The 21,301-nt window shown below is 38.3% G+C and overlaps 1 protein-coding gene across 1 annotated transcript in view; it reads right to left on the reverse strand.

Annotated features, from left to right (window-relative positions):
* The window catches only part of PRELID2 (PRELI domain containing 2), a 606,358-nt gene that overhangs the window by 145,660 nt on the left and 439,397 nt on the right, over positions 1-21,301 (reverse strand). The window contains exon 8 of the transcript XR_007058586.1: positions 6,943-7,074. The gene's annotated coding sequence lies outside the window, so the exon portion shown is untranslated. The remainder of the gene's footprint in view (positions 1-6,942; positions 7,075-21,301) is intronic.

A 21,301-nucleotide genomic window follows, 5' to 3' on the forward strand; every position in this document is an offset into this window, starting at 1 on the left:
GAAGTCTCATATTTCTTGGAGGCTTTGTTCATTTCTTTTCATTCTTTTTTCTCTAATCTTGTCTGCATGCCTTATTTCAGCAAGGTGGCCTTCAAACTCTGACATCCTTTCTTCCACTTAGTCAATTTGGCTTTTGATACTTGTATATGTTTCATGAAGTTCTTGTTCTGTGTTTTTCAGCTCCATCAGGTCATTTATGTTCCTACTTAAACTGGTTATTCTAGTCAGCATCTTCTCTATCCTTTTATTAAGGTTCTTAGCTTCTTTGCATTGGGTTAGAACATGCTACTTCAGCTCAGCATTGTTTTTTATTACCCATCTTCCCAACCCTTCTTCGTTCAATTCATCCATCTCATCCTCCATCCAGTTCTGTGCCCTTGCTGGAGAGACACTGTGATCATTTGGAGAAGAGGCACTCTGGCCTTTCGGGTTTTCAGCATATTTTCATTGATTCTTTCTCACCTTTGTGAGTTTGTCTAGTTTCAATGTTTGAGGATGCTGACCCTTGAATGCAGTTTTTGTGGGGGCTTTTTTATTGTTGTCATGTTCTGCTTGTTTGTTTTTCTTTCAATAATCAAGTCCCACTTCTGTAGGGCTGCTGTGGTTTGCTGGCGTTTCACTTCAGGACCTCTTCATCTGGTTTGTACCTGCATCTGAAAATGTCACTCAAGGAGGCTGGATAATAGCAAAGATGAGTGCCTACTCCTTCTTCAGGAATCTCTGACCTCAAGGGGCACCAATCTGATGCCAGTAGAATCATTCCTGTATAGGGTGTCTGACAATCCTTGTTGGAGGGTCTCACCCAGTTGGGTGTCCAGGGGAATAGGACCCGTTTAACGAAGCACTTTGTCCCTTGGTGGAGAGGGTGTGCTTTGCTGGGGGTAAACTCGCTCATCTGGGCTGCCCAGATTCCTCAGAACTAGAAGGAGGAAAGGCGAAGTCTGCTGATCAGCAGAGACTGGGGCCAGCCCTCTCCCTAGGGGCTCAGGCCCAGGGAGATCTGGGTTCTGTCCCTGAGCCTCTAGCTGGAGTTAATGGAGTTCCTTCAGGGAAGGCCTGTGCAGTGAGGAAGGATGAGTCATGGTCAGGCCTGAAAAGGCACTCTGGCTGTAATCTGCCACAGCTGGTTTGGTGGGCTGTTGGCAACACATCTTGGGGCCAAGCCATCCAGCCCCTTGGCTCCAGCAGGGGAAAAGCACAGCCTGGAGCTATAGAGATGCATGCTGCCCTTCCCCAACCCAGAGAGCTAATGTGTTAGGCAGTTGTGAGTGCCAGTGCTGGCTGCTATGTTGAATAGAAGTGGTGAAAGAGGGCATTCTTTTCTTGTGCCAGTTTTCACTGGAAATGCTTCCAGCTTTTGCCGTTCAGTATGATATGGGCTGTGGGTTTGTCACAGACGGCTCTTATTATTTTGAGGTATTTGCCTTTAATACCTAGTTACTAGGAGTTTTTAACATGCAGTGGTGTTAAAATTTATCAGAAGCCTTTTCTGCATGTATTGTGAAATGATGTATTTTTTGTCCTTAATTCTCTTTACGTGATGAATCACATTTATTGACTTGTGTATGTTGAACTATCCTTGCATTCCAGGGATAAAGCCTACTTGATCTTGATGGATAAGCTCTTTGATATGCTGCTGGATTTAGTTTGCCAGTATTTCATTGAAGATTTTTTCATCAAAGTTCATCAAGAATATTGGCCTAAAGTTTTCTCTTTTTCTGTTATGTCTTTGCCAGGTTTTGATATCAGAATGATACTGACCTCATAGAATGAGGTGGGGAGGAGTCCCTTCTCCTCAATTTTTTTGTAATAGCTTCAGCAAGAATGGTACCAGCTCTTCTTTGTACATCTGGTAGAATTCACCTGTGAATCCATCTGTTCCTGGGCTTTTTTTAGTTTGTAGGCTATTACTGACTCAATTTCAGAGCTTGTTATTGGTCTGTTTAGGGATTCAGTTCTTCCTGGTTCAGTCTTAAGAGGCTGTATGAATCCAGCAATTTATCCATTTCTTCTAGAGTTTTTATTTTATGTGCATAGATGTTCATAATATTCTCTGATGAGGTTGTTTGTATTTCTGTAGGATCAATGGTAATATCTCCCTTGTTTCTGATTGTGTTTATTTGAATCTTCTCTTTTCTTCTTTATTAGTCTAGCTAGCAGTCTATCTATTTTATAATTTTTTTTGAAAGACAGGTGTCTGGGTTTGTGGATTTTTTGAATGTTTTCTTCTCCCTTCATCTCTTTTAGTTCGTCTCTGATTTTGGTTATTTCTTGTCTTCTGCTAGTTTTGGTTGTGTTTGCTCTTGGTTATCTAGTTCTTTTAATTGTGATATTAGGTTGTTAATGTGAGATCTTTCTAACTTTTGATGTGGATATTTAGTGCTATAAATTTCCCTCTTAACACTCTGCCTTAGATGTGTCCCAGAGATTCTGGTCTGATGTATATTTGTTGTCATTAGTTTGAAAGAACTTCTTGACTTCTGCTTTAATTTCATTATTTACCTAAAAGTCATTCAAGAGAAGGTTATTCAATTTCCATGTAATTGCATAGTTTTAAGTAAATTTATTACTCTTGATTTCTAGTTTAATTGCACTGTGGTCTGACAGATTGTTTGTTATGATTTCAGTTCTTTTGCACTGGCTCTGAAGTGTTTTACTTCCAATTACATGATCAGTTTTAGAGTATGTGCAGATAAGAAGAATGTGTGTTCTGTTGGCTTTTGATGAAGAGTTCTGTAGATGTTTACCAGGTCCATTTGATCCAGTGCTGAGTTCAGGTCCTGAATATCTTTGTGATCTGTCTACTACTGTCAGTGGGGAATTAAAGTCTCTCACTACTATTGTGTGCAAATCTAAGTCTTTTTTAAGGTCTCTAAGAACTTGCTTTATGAATCTGGTTGCTCCTGTGTTGGTTGCATATATATTTAAGACAGTTAAATCTTCTTGTTGTGTTAAACCCTTTACTGTTATGCAATGTCCTTCTTTGTCTTTTTTTAATTTTGTTCACTTAAAGACTGTTTTGTCAGAAACTAGGATTGCAACCCCGTTTTCTTGGTAAATTTTTCTCCATCCCTTTATTTTGAGCCCATGTGTGTCATTTCACCCATCAAGAAATGGGTCTCTTGAAAGCAGCATACCAATGGGTCTTGGTTCATTATTCAGCTTGCCACTCTGTGTCTTTTAATTGGGAAATTTAGCCCATTTACATTCAAGGCTAGTATTGATATGTGTGGATTTGATCCTGTCATCATGATGTTGGCTGGTTATTTTGCAGAATTGTTTATGTGGTTGCTTTATAGTATCACTGGTCTTCCTTCAACAACTCTTGTAAGGCAGTTCTGGTGATAACAAATTCCCTCTGCATTTGTTTGTCTGAAAAGGATGTTATTTCTCCTCATTTATGAAGCTTAGTTTGACCAGATATAAAATTCTGGATTGGAATTTCTTTTAAGAAAGTTGGCTATAGGCTCCCAATCTCTTCTGTCTTCCAGGGTTTCAGCTGAGTGGTCTGCTGTTAGTCTGATGAGCTTCCCTTTGCAAATGGCCTGACCTTTCTTTCTAGCTGCCTTTAACATTTTTTCTTTCATTTCAACCTCAGAAAATTTGCTGATTGTGTGTCTTGCGGAGGATCTTTTTTGAAGTATCTTACAGGGTTCTCTGAATTTCCTGAATTTGAATGTTGGGCTCTCTATCTAGGTTGGGGAATTTCTCATGGATGATATCCTGAAATATGTTTTCCAAGTTGGTTTCATTCTCCCCATCTCTTTCAGACACACCAGTGAATCATAGATTTGGTATCTTTACATAATCCCACATTTCTCAGAGGTTTTGTTCATTTCTTGTCATTCTTTTTTCTCTATTATTGTCTGACTGTCTTATTTCAGAAAGCCAGTATTCAAACTCTGAGATTCTTTTCTTTGCTTGGTCTGTTCTGCCACTAATACTTGTAATTGCACTATGAAATTCTTGTAGTGTATTTTTTGGCTCTATTAGTCAGTTACATTATTTTCTATACTGGCTATTTTGTCAGTCAGTTTCTGCATTGTTTTATTATACTTTTTAGCTTCCTTGGATTGGGTTCCAAGGTACTCCTGTAATTCAACAATCTTCATTTCTATTCATATTTTGAATTCTATTTCTGTCATTTCAGCCATCTCAGCCTGGTTCAGAACCCTTGCTAGAGAGGTGATGCAGTTATTTGAAGAAAAGAAGACATTCTGGCTCTTTAAGTTGTCAGGGTTCCTTTGCTGATTCTTTTTCATCTTTGTGGGCTTATCTACCTTCAATCTTTGAGAGGGTCAACCTTTGGATTATTTTTCTTTTTTTTCTATTAGATGAAGTTTGGATTATTTTTCTTTTTTTTCTATTAGATGAATTTGAGGGTTTGATTCTCGTATAAGGTTGATTCAGCCAGCTGGACTTATTTCTGGAAGATTTTAGGGGGCCAATGCACAGCCCCCAACTCCTAGACTATATGTTTTAATTCTGGAAGATTTGTACTGGGTCCCAACTTTGTTCTCTGGTTTCTTAATGATAGGAATCCACTTCACTGGGGAAGGGGCCAAGGAGGTGCTCCCAGACTGCTGGTCACTGCACTCCAATGGGTGGTGTCAGCCAAGTGTTTCATAGTGCAGTGACAGTGGATCTAGTCTCATAGTAGCAGCTGTGGCAGAGTCCTAGTAGGTGCTGGACTGCCTGACTCCCTGTCAGTATTCACCACAATGGCAGAGGCAATGCAGCTGGAATAAGGGGTGAGGGGCTCCTTCTGGTGATTATGTGCATGGTTGTACTGGAGGTGGTGTTGGCTTGGAGGCAGGGTGCTTGTGGGCACAGTTCTAGATGGCTTCTCTGTGCCCAGCAAGCAAGAGTGGTCACTCAGGGTGAGGTAGGATCCCCTGTTCTCTGTGCAATGTTAACACAGAGTATGGTGCTGGTGGTGGCAGAGATGGCTGGCTCTGCTCACCAAGGCTTCACCTGCAATGGAATTTGGAGCGGGGAGCAGGGATGGAGCACAGACATACATATATACCACACAGACATACAGACAGCAAAGCAATGTGGGGAGTTGCTGTGGGCCAAGGGGAAGCTACAGCATAAGGAGGGAGCATGAAGGCTGGTACATGGTCACAGGAGCCAACCTGCAGGAGCTCTGCAAGTCAGGCATGTTTTATGAAGCAGAAGCTATGGTGTGGGCCCCGAGAGCACTCAAGACTGCCCTTCAAGCAAGCATGTCCAGGCTAGATCCCCAGGAGAGACCAGCAGACCAACAGGTGGTCAGGTCAGACCAGCCATGTCTGATGGGCAAGACTACCCTACAGAGTTCAGGTCCAACAGTTCCTTTAGGGCTAAAGGCTATGGGAACAAGTCAATGCTAGGGGGACGGCCCTTTCTGGCCATGGTCTGCTATGGCCATGCTCCTGCACCAAACCCTCTGGGCTCTACATCAGCTGCCTTGCTGCCCCTACCACTTCTCTAGGCTGCTCTCCCTGCTAATTTAAGTGTCCATGGTGGTTGAGGGGTCTCCTCATGCCGGGGTCCCAGAGGCCCATGGCAACAGTGGGTTGCTCCTTGCCAGTTTAACTCAATTATTCCTCCAGAGCCATTGGGGGCCAGAAATAAGTCCCAGTACTTGGTAGCCCCATGCAGCATTCCCAGCTTTCTCCCCCTTCAGCCCAGCTTTTGTGTCTTCCCTTTATCCACTCTTGGTGCCTTCCCTCTGAAGATCTGTTAGGAGCACGCCAGTTCTTATGGTACCTTGATGGGAGCTGTTTCACCTGGCTGCTCTAATCGGCCACCTTGTCCTCCTCCAAAAGTTATTTTCTAAATGCCCCCATGTGGCATGATTAACTTAAAATTTCAGCTCAAATATAACTTCTCAACAAAGTCTTCTGTAGTTTCCACTCTAAATCAGCACTTCTGATTTTACACATTCATAGTAAGTATGTTTTATTACATTTTACATATTTTTTCTTTTTGTTACAGAATATTGTTTTTATTTTAGTACCTACTGGTTTGCTCTTTAGACTTCATCCAGTTTTTACAGTAGAGCTATTTTTGGATTCCCTCACTATAATGGCATTAAATACGTTTCAGTTGAATGAAATAATGAATGAAAGAATGAATATGAGATCCTTGAAGGCTTTGATGAGCTTTTCTTTTACTTTGCCCCCACAAATGCCTAAAATATTGTCATCCATAACAAAGGGTCTTGATAAGTGTTATATAAATAAAATAAATCCAATCGGTGACCTAAAAAACTATGGGACACAGGTTTTATGCATGTTCTAGAACAACAAAAACTATGTAACATAGAACATTAGTTCCATGGAACATAATAAAATAGGTGTTAAATGTTTAAAGAATGATCCACTGGAAATTCTGCTTCATCGTAGCATGTATTTTGCATAGAATTCACCTTTTCAGTTAAAAACTACAAATTCTGAACAAGTTGTCTCTAAAAAGCAATAATTTAAAGGCCCTAAGAGTGATTAAACACAGACAAAGTTAAATAAATTCAACTCTTAAAAGATCAAAACCAAAGTCAGTTCCATGTTTATGCATCTATCCCATGCAGGGCACTTTCCATCAAAACACCTGAAACTCAAGCAAAATGATGCAGTCTTTCTGAATTAAATTGTGAGAGAAAAACTTCAGAACTTTCAGAGAGGCTTGAAAATGAGGAGGGAAATCCTGAAAAAGAGAATGGCACAGAGTGGGGAGCCCCAAAAATCTACATATTGGGTTGGTGCAAAATTAAATGCAGTTTTTTGTTATTACTTTTAATGGCAAAAACCACAATTAGTTTTTCACCAACCTAAAACAAACTTTAATTCTCAGCTGATGTCTGTATTGTGCATGTGTGGATGACATTATATGAAGTTCAGTGGAAATCAACAGCCAAAAACTTGAAAAAGTTTAGAAGGTATTTTAGCTGCTACTCACCGTAGAGGAGAACAAATTGGGTCCCAACAACGTAAAGAGCCTTGGTATTTGAAACGTCAGAGTCTTCCACTGAAACTCAAAAACAGCCATACCTCAGAAGTAAATGCTATGATCCAGAACTGAGAGATTTTTCTGCGAACAAAACAAGACATTCTTATAAAAGTAAGATAAGAATACCACAAGTTCAAGATAATCAACCTTCTATAACAAAAATAATTCTACAGAGGAGCATAACAGAACATATTATCTCTGTAAAGTATCATCTACTGTGTTCATTAAAATTATAAGACACATATTTAAAACCCAGAAAACTGGGATGCATAGTCAAGAGGAAAAAAAATCTATTGAAATAGACCCTGGGATTACTTAGTTTTTTTTTTTTTAATTTAGCAGAAAAAATGACAAAATACATTGAATAACTTTAAAGTGGGGGGTAGTCATAATTAAAACAAAAGGATGAATGGGAAATCTCAGAAGAGAAATTGAGACCCTTAAAATATAGAAATTCTAACACTTAAAAACTATACCAGAAACTTAAAAGTCACTGGATGAATTATTAACAAATGAGACACAGCACAGAAAGAATTAGTTAACTTGAAGACAGAGCAATAAAAAGTATACAAGCTAAAGAACAGATAGTAAAAGACTGAAAAAAGATTAACACATCTTCAGTAACCTGTGTGAATAATGTTAAGCAGTCTAGCATACATAAAATTGAAGTTCCAAAAAAATAAAAGTGATAATAGAACAAAAATAGTTAATCAATTAATAGACCAAATGTTTCAAAATTTGTTGGAAAAATATTAATTTTGAGATTCAAAAATCTCAGCAAATGAAACATTTTATAGTAAAATTTCTGAAAAAGATAATAAGAAAATCTTGACAGAAGCCAGAGAATAATACATTATATACAAGATAATAATAAAAATGGCAGATAACTTTTTGTCAAAAACAATAGAGTCAAGAAGGCAATAAAATGGTCTTTCAAGTAAAAGTGTGAATATTAAATATCCATCCAGCATTTTTTCTAGCAAAAATAAAATGAAAGATAAGACAAAGATATTTTCTAGTACACAAAACCAGAGAACTAATTACCAGCAGACCCATACTACAAAAAATGCTGTCTCTTAAGGATCTCTTATGAGGCTGGTCTAGTGGCAACACATTCCCTTAGCATTTACTTGTCTGGAAAATATTTCATTTTTCCTTCAAACCTCAGCATCACACAATATATCCATGTAACAAACTTGTACATGTACCTCCAGAATCTAAAATAAAAATTTGAAATTTTAAAAATAAAATAATATAAAAAATGAAATAGTGTAAACTTTACCAAAATATATAACAATGATCTATATTAAAACCTCTGAAACACTACTGAGAGAATTTTAAAATACCTAAATAAATGGAGAGGTGTACTATATTCATAGATTGAAAGACTCAACATTGTTAAGATATCATTTCCTCCAGATTGATCTGTAGACTCAATGCAATTTCAATCAACTTCCCAATAAATTTTTTAAAAATAAAAAATTTACACTGATTCTAAAACATGTGGGAAAAAAAAGCAAACCCAAAATCTAGCACAGAAATACACACACACATCCATATACATGTGTGTATATATATCTTACACTCAAATATATATATACTCAAATAACTATATATGCATTCATATATACATATATACACACATACGTACATATATACACACATATATGTACGGATATACAGCTATTTCATTTATACACACACACACACATACACACGTCCATATATATATATACACACACACATATGTGGATGTGTGTGTGTGTGTGTACAAATGAGAAAGCTGAAATACATTACCTTTTCTAAGATCTAGTATAAAACTAGTAAACTAATAATCAAATAGATAAATATAATAAAATAGAGAAACCAGAAATAAACCCATATAAAAACTACAGTCAGATGATTTTCATCAAAGAAGCCAATGCACTTCAATAGGGAAAAAATCTTTTTAACAAATGATGTGAAATAACTAAATGTCAGCATGCAAAAAAAAAAAAACCTCAACTTTTAGCTCACACCATGCACAAAAATTAATTTTAGGTGGATTGTAGACCTACAAGTTAAAGTTAAGTGTAAAAATCTTCTAGAAGAAAATGTGAGAAAAATTAGAAATATCCTTTTGATCTTAGGGTAAGCAAACATTTCTTAAAGAGAAGACCCAAAGAGGACCACAGATTGGCACACACATGCACATACACACACACATACACACACACATTTGAGTGTGTATATTTAACTATGTATGTGTGTATATATATATGTGTGTGTGTATATATGTATGTATGTGTGTGTATATATATGAGTATAGGATACATAATACATTTTTACAAATCATTAATAAAAGCACAAACAATTCAATTTAAAACTTTGAACACATTTCATAAAAGAAGGTATACTAACGGCCAGTATGCACATGAGAAGATACTCAAGATCATTAACCTTTGAGTAAGTGAAAGTGAGAACCACAATGATGCACCATTTTAAACTCAAGAATAGATAAGCTACACGAGACTGACAATACCAGATGTGAGTGAGAGTGTGGAAGAACTGGGCATTTCATACTTCGCTAAAGAGAGAATGTAAAATTGGTCATCCACTTACCAACCTGTTTCACATAGGCATTTATCCAAGATTAATGACAGCATAAATCCATAAAAATCGTTTCACAATATATTCAAAATGACTTTATTCATGATATCCAAAACTGAAAACAATGCAAATGTTCATCAACAGGAGAATGGATACAAACTCTAATATATTCATACAATGGAATGTTTTTCTAGCAACATAAATGAATGATATATAAATACATGCAACAATATATATGAATATTCAAAACATATATTGAATAAAAGAAAACAGAAATGAAAGGTTTCATACTGTATGATTCCATTTACATAAAATATAAGAACAGGCAAAATAATCTGTGGTAATCGTATTAGGCTGTTCTTGCATTACTATAATGAAATACGTGAGACTGGGTAATTTGTAAGAAAAGAGCCTTAATTGGCTCCCAGTTTTGCAGGCTGTATAGAAAGCATAGCTCCAGCATCAGCTTCTGGGCATGCCTCTAGAAGTTTACAATCATGGCGGAAGGTGAAGTAGGATTTTGCATGTCACATGGCAAAAGCAGGAGGCAGAGAAAGACAGGGAGGTGCCATACATTTTAAACAGCAGGCTCTCACGAGAAGTCACTCTGCCACGAGGAGAGCACCAACGGTATGGTTGTAAACCATTCATGAGAAATCCATCTTCATGATCCATTCACCTCCCACCAGGCCCCACCTCTAATACTGGTAATGACATTTCAACATGAGATTTTGGGTGGGGACAAATACACAAACTATATCATAATAGAAACCAGAACAGTAGTTTCTGATGACTGGAAGGTACAGTGTAAGAGTGAATTTTAGAGGGTCGATAGGAATGTGTTACATCTTGATTTGGGTGGTGATTACACAAGTGTATATATGTATCAAAACTTACTAAATTATACACTTATAGTCTGCGTGTTATACTGCATGTAAAATGTACTTCCATAAAAGTATTTAAAATTTTTTAAATGTATCTTTTATAAAAATTAGAATTGAAAATGCCAGATCTTCCAAAGTTAAGCATGTTCCTTTCCCGAAGGACTTTTCAGTACCTTCAAAAAGACAAATAAACATGGTTAAGTGTCTGTGAAAAAAATCTAGTCTTTATCACTGCCCTGAGTTATTTGTCTATAAAATTTTTTGTCCTTCCATAGCATTTTGAAGTACAAATAGTCTGCAGAAAATGCCTTTGGAAGTGCCGCTCAGATGGTGTCTTCCATCAGAAGCGATAGTTGCCTGGGCAACACTGTGTGGAGGAAAAATGCAAACTGACCACTCTGTCTGATAGGATCTAGTTTGGAAACCAATTTAACTTCAGTAATGAGAAATCCTAACCATCAAATTTTTGCAACTCATACATTTTTCACTACTGTAACACATGGTAGTAAATAATGTAGGACTGTTTCCTCTTTTACCAAGAACTTTTGGCCTATAAGTACAGATAGCACCAGACAATTATTGCATTTTGTATTTCCATTCATGGAAATTCAGCCAATTGTGATGTTCTTTAGAAGTGGACTTATTTATATTTAGATCATAAATGACATTGCATCCTTCAAGGCCCAACTCAAATGCCACCTTTATGAATTCTTCATAAAGCCTTTCCAGTACCTTAACAAACTGAAAACATATTTTCTTTCACTGAACACCTCTGTTTTGTGTTCTCATAGGGTTTGGCTCTATGTCCCCACCCAGATCTCGTCTTGATTTGTAATCCCCATAATCCCTATGTGTCAAGGGAGGGACAACGTGGGAGGTGATTGGATCATGGGGGCTGTATTAGTCTATTCCCGGGGTGCTATAAAGACATACCCAAGACTAGGTAATTTATAAAGGAAAGAGGTTTAATTGACTAACAGTTCAGCATGGCTGGGGAGTCCTCAGGAAACTTACAATCATGGCAGAAAGGGAAGCAAACACGTTCTTCTTCACGTGGTGGCAGCAAGGATAAGTGCAGAGTGAAGGGGGAAAATAACCCTTATAAAACTATCAGATCTCATGAGAACTCACCCACTCTCATGAGAACAGCATGGAGGTGGAGGTAACCACCCCCATGATTCAATTACCTTCCACCAGGTCCCTCCCATGACACAGGTGGATTATGAGAACCACAGTTCAAGATGAGATACGGATGAAGACACAGCCAAATCATATCAGGGGCAGTTTCTCCCATGCTGTTCTCAGGATAATGAGTGAGGTCTCATGAGATCTGATGGTTTCATAGGCAGTTTTCCCTGCTCCTGCCTGATCTCTCTTGCCTGCCATTATGTAAGACATGCCCCTTCCCCTTCCATCATGATTGTAAGTTTCCTGAGGCCTCCCCAGCCATGCAGAACTGTGAGTCAATCAAACCTCTTCACTTTATAAATTAACCAGTCTCAGGTATGTCTTTATAGCAGTGTGAAAACAGACTAATACATGGCCCTTATTATTTTCTGTCTTTTGTTGGCATTATTTGTATTGTTTACATATCCTACCACAGGACAGAAATTATAGCTTAATAATATCTCTCTTACACAAATATCTCATAGAATAAATTCTTAACACTTGTTGAAATAATAAATGAGCACTTGATATGGTCATTTTTATAGAGGAGCTTCAACCTCTGGAATCATAATGTTGCATTTCAAGAAATTACTTGTTCTACATCACTTTATAACATTAATTCTCCTGGGAGCAGCCCAAATAAAATTGAATGGCTGGTTATTTTCCTTACTGAACTCAACAAGCCACTTTATCCTAAGTGATAAGCCCTCTTCTGTTTCTAAAGATCAGTGACATAGCTTTATTATGTATGATTTTCCAAAAAGGTTCATTTTACATAAATTAATAGTAGTCAATAAATCAATAGATATTTACATAGCATTCATTTTGCAAATAACACTCGGGTAATGTGCATGACCAGGTATACTTACTAAATGGTTCAATTTGTGATACCATCAAACCTGAACAAATATAACCTGAATATTGCTCTTAGATATGTCAAAAAGCCTTTTATTTTTTTAAATAGGAATGTAGATGCATGGTTATGTTGGGCTAGTGAAATTACATATGCATAGTAGGGTATTCAAGGAGCAAAAATGTGGTTTTCAGCTAAAGTGAGAATATAATAATGGAAGGGATGACCTCTTCCATTTAACAGATGTGAGAAGTATGCCAGAAGAAGTGAGGGTAATGTGGGCAATGTCATTACATTAGTTAAGAAAAGAGCCTCATCTAGAACTTATATCTTTGACACTTGACCCAGGGATGTTAGAACTTGTTCACATTCTGTTTCCTTATAAAGAATTTATACTTACCATCAATTAACCAGTAAAATGTCTACGCACTTAAAAACTGAAGTTGTTTTACTTATGATTGTACTTTTTTGACCATACATGGCTTCTAATCACCTGGACATTGGTTTAAAGACAAACTAGGCTGAGCATGGTGGCTCACATCTGTAATACCAGCACTTTGGGAGGCCAAGGTGGGAGGATTGCTTCAGCCCAGGAATTTCAGACCCACCTGAGCAACATAAGGAGACCCTGTCTGTACAAAAAATACAAAAATTAGCTGGGCATGGTGGAGCACACCTGTAGTCCCAGCTATTCTGGAGGCTGAGGTGGGAGGATTGCTTGAGCCTGGGAGGTTGCAGTAAGCCCAGATTGCACCACTGCACTCCAGCCTAGGCAAGAGAGAAAGACCCTGTCTCAAGACAGAACCAAAAAAAAAAAAAAAAGACACTAAAATTGCAAACTTTAAAGTGGCAAAGTACTCTGTTAAAAAATATTTAAAGAGGCTTATCATTAATACACAGATAAAACAGAATTCCAAACAGTTAGTAAAAATCAGAAAAGAACATTCAAGAGATAAAGGATGAGGATGGTAGAAACATTACAAGAACCTATCACTTAGCAGTAATTACCAGTAAAGTAGGGAATTGAGTGTTTGAAAAATGGGGTAAAAATAAGATCTCTCATGTTTCTTTTCTACCTTGAATTCTGTATGCTAGTATTATCTATTTAAAACATAAAAGTCAAAATTAATTAGCATTTTAAGTATTTTTAAATGAATAAATGTGTAACTTGTCCCTGAAAATCTACAATAATTAACTGCATCTTGGTCTGGACTAGGTAGCAAGTGAAAACATGGAAACACTGTATCTAACACAACTAACAAGTATCTAGGCATTTGATAATGATATTTCTTTGTCCATTAATGCTTTTCTTTTTCCCACTCCCATCAATTGGGCCCACTTTACAAACCCTAGTTTAATCCTCACCACATTCATGTCTTTGATGATTCCTCCAGTTCTCATGAAAACTTATTTCTCTAAATTCCAACAGACCTTGAAGTGTGCACCATACACAATTGGCTCCTTCCTACACTCAAACATCATTCCTTTTTCTTTATTCTCCTTTAAGCACATTGGCTTTTTTCTGTTTTACAAATGAGCTTGGCTCATTTCCATCTCAGGGATTGGTCCTTAATTTTCCCTCGGTGTTAAATCTGTCTTTCCACATCTCCACGTGGCTGGCTCCTTCTTGACTCAGGGCAAAGCTCAAATATTACCACTTTGGCAAGACTATCTGGACCACCCAATTTAAAGTAACATTTCTCCCATCATTCTCCATCATGATTTTTCCGTCAATATCATATTTCCCTGTTTTATTTTCCTTTTAGGACTTACTACCTGAAATTATCTTTATAACATCTGCATGTACTTATTTATTTTGCTTTTTTCTACCATAAGCATGATGTACCATAAGCACAATGTATCTTACTCACCACTGTAGTGCTAGCTCCTAATATTGTGACCAGCACATAATAGATGCTTGATAAATATTTACCAAATGAATATCCTGAATTACATTCTGCCTTGTACTACTTGCTGATTATTTCATTCCTTATCTCTCAAACTAAATTGCAACTTTCCTATGGCTAAGAACCATGCTACATATTCTGTCTGCCTCCCCTACCGCTTGTAGCAAAGATCTAGGCAGATCTGCACTCAAAAATGACTGATTGATTGATTCAGATTATGGCTGTTACACAAGATAGTAGATGGAAGAGAAATACAAACAGATGATCTTAGAGGGGCTTGTGAATGCTGTAATGTAACAGCCTTCACAAGTCTAGAATTGGTAATGAGGCAACTCATCACCTGACACAGAGGCAGTAAACACCTTTCCTCTGCAGTACCCACCAAAGCCCAAATGTCAATACCAGTTAATATCTGAGGTTGCATAGTTCTCCAGAGAGTTTTTACTAAAGGGATAAAGTAATGCATTAAAATGTAAATTTTGCTATTCTGGCTGCTTTGCATTTAGGGAACATCTTTCTTCCAAGGAGCTCAAATAAGTGGTAACAACTCTATTTAACATAAAATACAGTATACATCTCACACAGTCCAAATGAATTGAAATTAAAACTCGTGGGAGTTGTTCTAAAAATCTCTCTTGGCAGCATGGCATACAAATTTGGAAGGAAAAAAAGAGAATACAGTTATTGGAAATGAAAGTTAGGTTGCTCACTTTGTCTCTGAAATTTAAATTCTCAGTAGTCCAGAGGAGAGGCTAAGGTGGTATACGAACAATACTTTCATTTCTGCCACAGGGGTTCACACTTACTCTACTGAGAAAGATAAAAATTTATATCAGACCAAAGTGAAAAATACTTTCTTAAAATTACCCAAGTAAACAATGCTAGTAATTGTGTGGGAAGAAGTTATATAGTTTATTCAAATATTCAACAAACATTTACTGAGCACCTACTATGTAAATGCCAGGCTATAACCATGAAATCTTGAAACAAATCTGCCTTCACAGTTTGATTAGGAAGATAGCTGCATAAAAAATTATCTGCAATACAATAAACAGAATTCTGATGGAGGTAAGGACAGTGGAAGTACATAGGAAAGACACCTAATCCTGTTCTAGAAGATCAGAAAAGTCTCTTCAAGGATATAATATCTCAGTTGAAGCATGAAGGATTAGAAGAACTCTGCCAGATTAATAGAAGTTTCAGACCCAAAGAACAAAATTTACATAGGCCTAGTGTATTAGTCCATTCTCACTCTTCTAATAAATATATACCAGAGACTAGGTAATTTATAGAGGAAAGAGGTTTAATTGACTCACAGTTCAGCATGGCTACGGAGGCCTCAGAAAACTTAAAATCATGGTGGACAAGGAAGCAAACATACCTCTCTTCACAAGCTGGCAGGAGAGAGAAGTGCCAAGTGAAGCGGGGAAGCCCCTTATAAAACCATCAGATATCATGAGAATTTGAGAACAGCATAAGGGTAACTGCCCCCATGATTCAATTACCTCCCACTGGGATCCTCCCACCACAGGTGGGGATTATTGGAACTACAATTCAGGATGAGATTTGGGTGGGGACAGAGCCAAACCATATCATTCTGCCCCGGCCCCTCTCAAATTTCATGTCTTCACATTTCAAAACACCGTCATCCCTTTCTAACAAGCTCCCAAAGTCTTAGTTCATTCCAGCATTAACCGAGAAGTCCACATCCAAAGTCTCATCTGATACCAGGCAATTCCCTTCCATCTATGAGCCTATAAAATCAAAAGCAAGTTAGTTACTTCCTAGATACAATGGAGCTACAGACATTGGGTAAATTCACCCATTCCAAATGAGAGAAATTAGCCAAAACAAAAGGGCTACAGGCCCCATGCAAGTCCAAAATCCAATAGGGCAGCCTTAAACCTTAAAGTCCCAAAATAATCTCCATTGACTCCATGTCTCACATCCACATCACACTGATGCAAGAAATGGGCTCCCATGGCCTTGGGAAGTGCCACCCCTGTGGCTTTGCAGGGTACAGCCCCCCTCCCGCCTACTTTCATGGGCTGATGTTGAGTGTCTGTGGCTTTTCTAGGTGCACAACAGAAGCTGTAAGTGAATCTACCATTCTGCGGTCTGGAGGATGGTGGCCCTCTTCTCAAAATTCTGAGGTTCTCCATCATGGCTCCACCCCTGTAGCAGACTTTTGCCTAGACATCCAGGCATTTCCATACATTCTCTGAAATCTAAATGGAGGTTCCCAAACCTCAATTCTTGACTTCTGTGCACCCACAAGCTGAATATAACATGAAATTCCCCAAGGCTTGGGGTTTGCACCCTCTGAAGCAATGGCCTGAGCTGTATGTTGGCCCCTTTTAGCCACTGCTAGAGATGAAGCAGCTGGGACTCAGGGCTGCATAGAGCAGAGAGGCCCGTGGCCTGGCCACATCCCAAGGCTGCATAGAGCAGAAGGATCGCATGGCCTGGCCCTGGAAACCATTTTTTCCACCTAGGCTTCCAGTTTTATGATGGAAGGGGCTGCTGTGAAGGTCTCTGACATGCCCTGGAGATATTTTCCCCATTGTCTTGGTGATTAACATTCAACTCCTCATTACTTATGCAAATTTCTGTAGAGGGCTTACATTTCTCCCTAGAAAATGTTTTGTTTTTTTTTTTTTTCTATTGCATCATCAGGCTGCAGATTTTTCAAACCTTTATGCTCTGCTTCTTCTTGAACACTTTGCTGCTTACAAATTTTTTCCACCAGATACCCTAAATCATCTCTCTCAAGTTCAAAGTTCCACAGATCTCTAGGGCAGGGGCAAAATGCCACCAGTCTCTTTGCTAAAACATAGCAAGACTCATCTTTGCTCAAGTTCCCAAGAAGTTCCTCATCTCCATCTGAGCCCACCTCAGCCTGGATTTCATTGTCCATATCACTATCAGCACTTTGGTCATTGCCATCCAACAAGTCTCTAGAGGTTTCAAACTTTCCCACATTTTCCTGTCTTCTTCTGGGCCCTTCAAACTGTTCCGACCTCTGTCTGTTACCCAGCTCCAAAGTTGCTTCCACATTTTCAGGTATCTTTATAGCAGCACCCCACTCTCTGTGGTACCAATTTACTGTATTAGCCCATTCTCACGCTGCCAATAAAGACATACTTGAGACTGGGTAATTTATAAAGAAAAAAGGTTTAATTGATTCACAGTTCAGCATGGCTGGGGAGGCCTCAGGAAACTTACAATCATGACAGAAAGGGAAGCAAACATGTCTTCTTCACAAGGCAGCAGGAGAGAGAAGTACTGAGTGAAGGAGGGAAGCCAGTTATAAAACCATCAGCTCTTGGGGGAACTCACTATCAAGAGAACAGCATGAGAGTAACCACCTCCATGATTCAATTATCTCCCACCGGGTCTCTCTCAGGAAATGTGAGGATTATGGTAACTACAAATCAAGATGAGATTTGGGTGAGGATACAGACAAACCATATCACCTGGACACAGAGAGCGTATGTAGTAAAAAGGGCATTTAAGTAAATAATATAACAGAATTGCAGAGGACACAATGCACTCTGAAAACAGTCACAATTTGATCTGTAATTGTAACTAGCTTTAATAGGACATACCAAAAATAGACATCACATAATGAAAGAGAAAGAAAGAGAGAGGGAGGAGAGAGAGAGAAAGAAAGAGAGAGGGAAAGAAGGAAGAAAGGAAGGAAGGAAGGAAGGAGTCTACATGCTCTCTAGCCAATCAAATAACAGTATCCAGAAAACATGAACACGAATGTTCTTCCAAGTAAACTATTTAAATATTCTCCTTTCCATCTTGTCCTGCATTCTAATGCAGCCAATGGCATGAATCCACATTGTCCAGTGACATAGTCTGACTCTATTTTGTCCTCAAACACTTTGTTTCTGTGTCAAAGCTCATTTGTCCAGCTGAGGGCTTTAATCTCCTGCTCCATCCCCTTCTCCCCATTGCACCTTGCTACTTTACCTGGCGAAGCACCAAACCCAAACTTCTCACCAAGAGGAGCTTCAGTTATTTGATTTCTACTAATATGTGAGATTAATGTGTAGTGTTCTGTGAATCTGGTATAATCCATCACACAATCAGATGCTGGCCTTCCCTTAATGAATGTATAATAGAGAATGACATTATCCATTAAGTGAGAATAAGATGGAGCAGGCACATAGCTGAGTAAAGGCCAACACCATGAGGAGCCATGTGTAGATCCTTTGATTTCAGAACTAAAGCCCAAATGTCATGCTCTTCAGGGGAAATATAACTTGGCGGGGTCCACTCTGTCAGGACAAGTGTCAGTGAAGCACCTCGGTGTGGGAACTGAGTAGCCTGGCTTTGGGTTTTTAAAAGAAAAAACTCTAGGCAAATTAAATTTAGCAGAGTTTAATTGAGCAAAGAATGATTCAAGCATCGGGCAGCCTCCAGAACAAGAATAGGTTCAGAGAGGCTGTAGGGCTGACACATGGTCTGGTAACATTTATGGACAGAAAAGGGAAAGCAAACTACAGAAAATGGAAATGAATTGCAGAAACAGCTGGATTGCTGACAGCTGGCGTTTGCCTTATTTGAACCTGGTTTGAACAGTTAGCTGCCTGTAATTGACTGAAACTCAGCTGCTGTGATTGGCTGAGATTCAACTACTTACACAAAGTATATAACAAACTATTTACACATCAAGTTAGGTTTCAGTTCACTGTGTACAGAGAAATCTTTAAACTTAAAATACGTGTGGAGAAAATTTTAGGCCAAATTTAATTCAATTTAACAGGGTTAAGTCTGTCTTGGGGAGACTGCATGAGGAAGAAGTGAAATTCTGTGCATTGTGTTTGTTGGTAAACCAGGCTAAAACATTTGCAGACATACATTAAAAACCACCAGATTTAATAATATTGTCTAAAATACTTAAGACAGTCAGGACACTTTTACACTGTTGGTGGGACTGTAAACTAGTTCAACCATTGTGGAAGTCAGTGTGGCGATTCCTCAGGGATCTAGAACTAGAAATACCATTTGACCCAGCCATCCCATTACTGGGTATATACCCAAAGGATTATAAATCATGCTGCTATAAAGACACATGTACATGTATGTTTATAGCGGCACTATTCACAATAGCAAAGACTTGGAACCAACCTAAACGTCCAACAATGATAGACTGGATTAAGAAAATTTGGCACATATACACCATGGAATACTATGCAGCCATAAAAAAATGATGAGTTCATGTCCTTTGTAGGGACATGGATGAAACTGGAAACCATCATTCTCAGCAAAATATCACAAGGACAAAAAAACCAAACACTGCATGTTCTCACTCATAGGTGGGAATTGAACAATGAGAACACATGGACACAGGAGGGGGAACATCACACACCAGGGACTGTTGTGGGGTCGGGGGAGGGGGAGGGATAGCATTAGGTGATATACCTAATGCTAAATGACAAGTTAATGGGTGCAGCACACCAACATGGCACATGTATACATATGTAACAAACCTGCATGTTATGCACATGTACCCTAAAACTTAAAGTATAACAATAATAAAATAAAGTAAAATAAATATATGTTCCAAATTATAACTATAGTAAATACTGGCACTAGGAATGGAGCCTTGATCATCTGACTCTGGAACTTGTGTTAATCCCATTTGAACCTGTAAATAACTCTGTGGATTAAGAACAAAGATTATTTCCATTTTATGGAGGAGTGGCAGAAAAGTGTGGTGGTTAGGAGAGCAAATGTAAGTGTTAGAAGAGTCCATTTTGATTCTGGCTCTGTCGTTTATCAGTTGTGAATTTGGGAAAGGTATCTAACTCCTCTGAGATTTACAACGTCCTCAAATATCAAGATGTAGAGAACACTTAATCTCTTAGGGCCTCTCTGTCTTTGCCATCATCATCATGGTTATTACGTATTTTGGGTTTTCTCATCTTAATTTTTTCTCCTACCTGAAATTGCCATGTTATTCCCCTTAAACCCTTAGATTAAGAGATGGCTGCAATGTACTACTATGCTGCTAATAGTAAATATTTATTGTACACTTACTATATGCCAAGTGCTTTTAGTGCATTATCTCATTCAATCTTTACAACCCCTCCACGAGATAAATACTGGTGTCATCTATAATTTATAGCTAGAAACAGAACTCGCCTAGAACTGGACATTGCTGATTTCACTTCCCCTTTTCCTGCCCACCACCCTGACTGCCAACTGACTTCGGAACTCCAAAAAGGCATCCATGAAAACGACAGGAATTGCCTGCAGGAAATTCAATGCTCCAGGAGTTTGACACTAAAAAGACTGGGAACTGTCCACCAACTGGTGCTACCGAGAATAGTGGTTGTTGAAAGGAATTTCGGCTCTATCCCAACTTAATTTTCCTCAGGGATGTGTCAATTACCTCCAAGTCCTCTTCAGAAGGGTAGCCGGAAAAACAGTGAAACCAAGTAACTCACCTGAGAACAAGCCGGGAGTAGTGCAAAGGAATCAACCAGACTTTTAATTTATTACAAAGTCCAGCCACTCCATTTGCTTTCTAACAACCTTGTTGCGTGGTATTGAGTAAAAGATGCTATAAAGGACGAACACGTTTGGAAGTAATAATAATCTGATGTTATGCAACATAATTTTCTCCACATTTGTTGTTATTTTTCTGATAATAAATTTCATACATTTTATTGGAAAACCACAAAAAAAACAAAAAAGACAGGAGAGGCAATGCAATGAGGTGTAAAGAACCCATGGCTTGGAGTCATGGAGCCTGGACCCCAGTTCCAGCTCAGCCAGCCACTCATGTTAAAATCTGAGCTTTATTTCCTCCAACCAGATAGTCACTAAGTTACCTTCTGGTGCTGACATTCAATGACTAGCTTATCAATCTTTGCCACAGTCATATATCT

Source organism: Homo sapiens, chromosome 5 (assembly GCF_000001405.40).
Source record: "Homo sapiens chromosome 5, GRCh38.p14 Primary Assembly".
Lineage (NCBI taxonomy): Eukaryota > Metazoa > Chordata > Mammalia > Primates > Hominidae > Homo > Homo sapiens.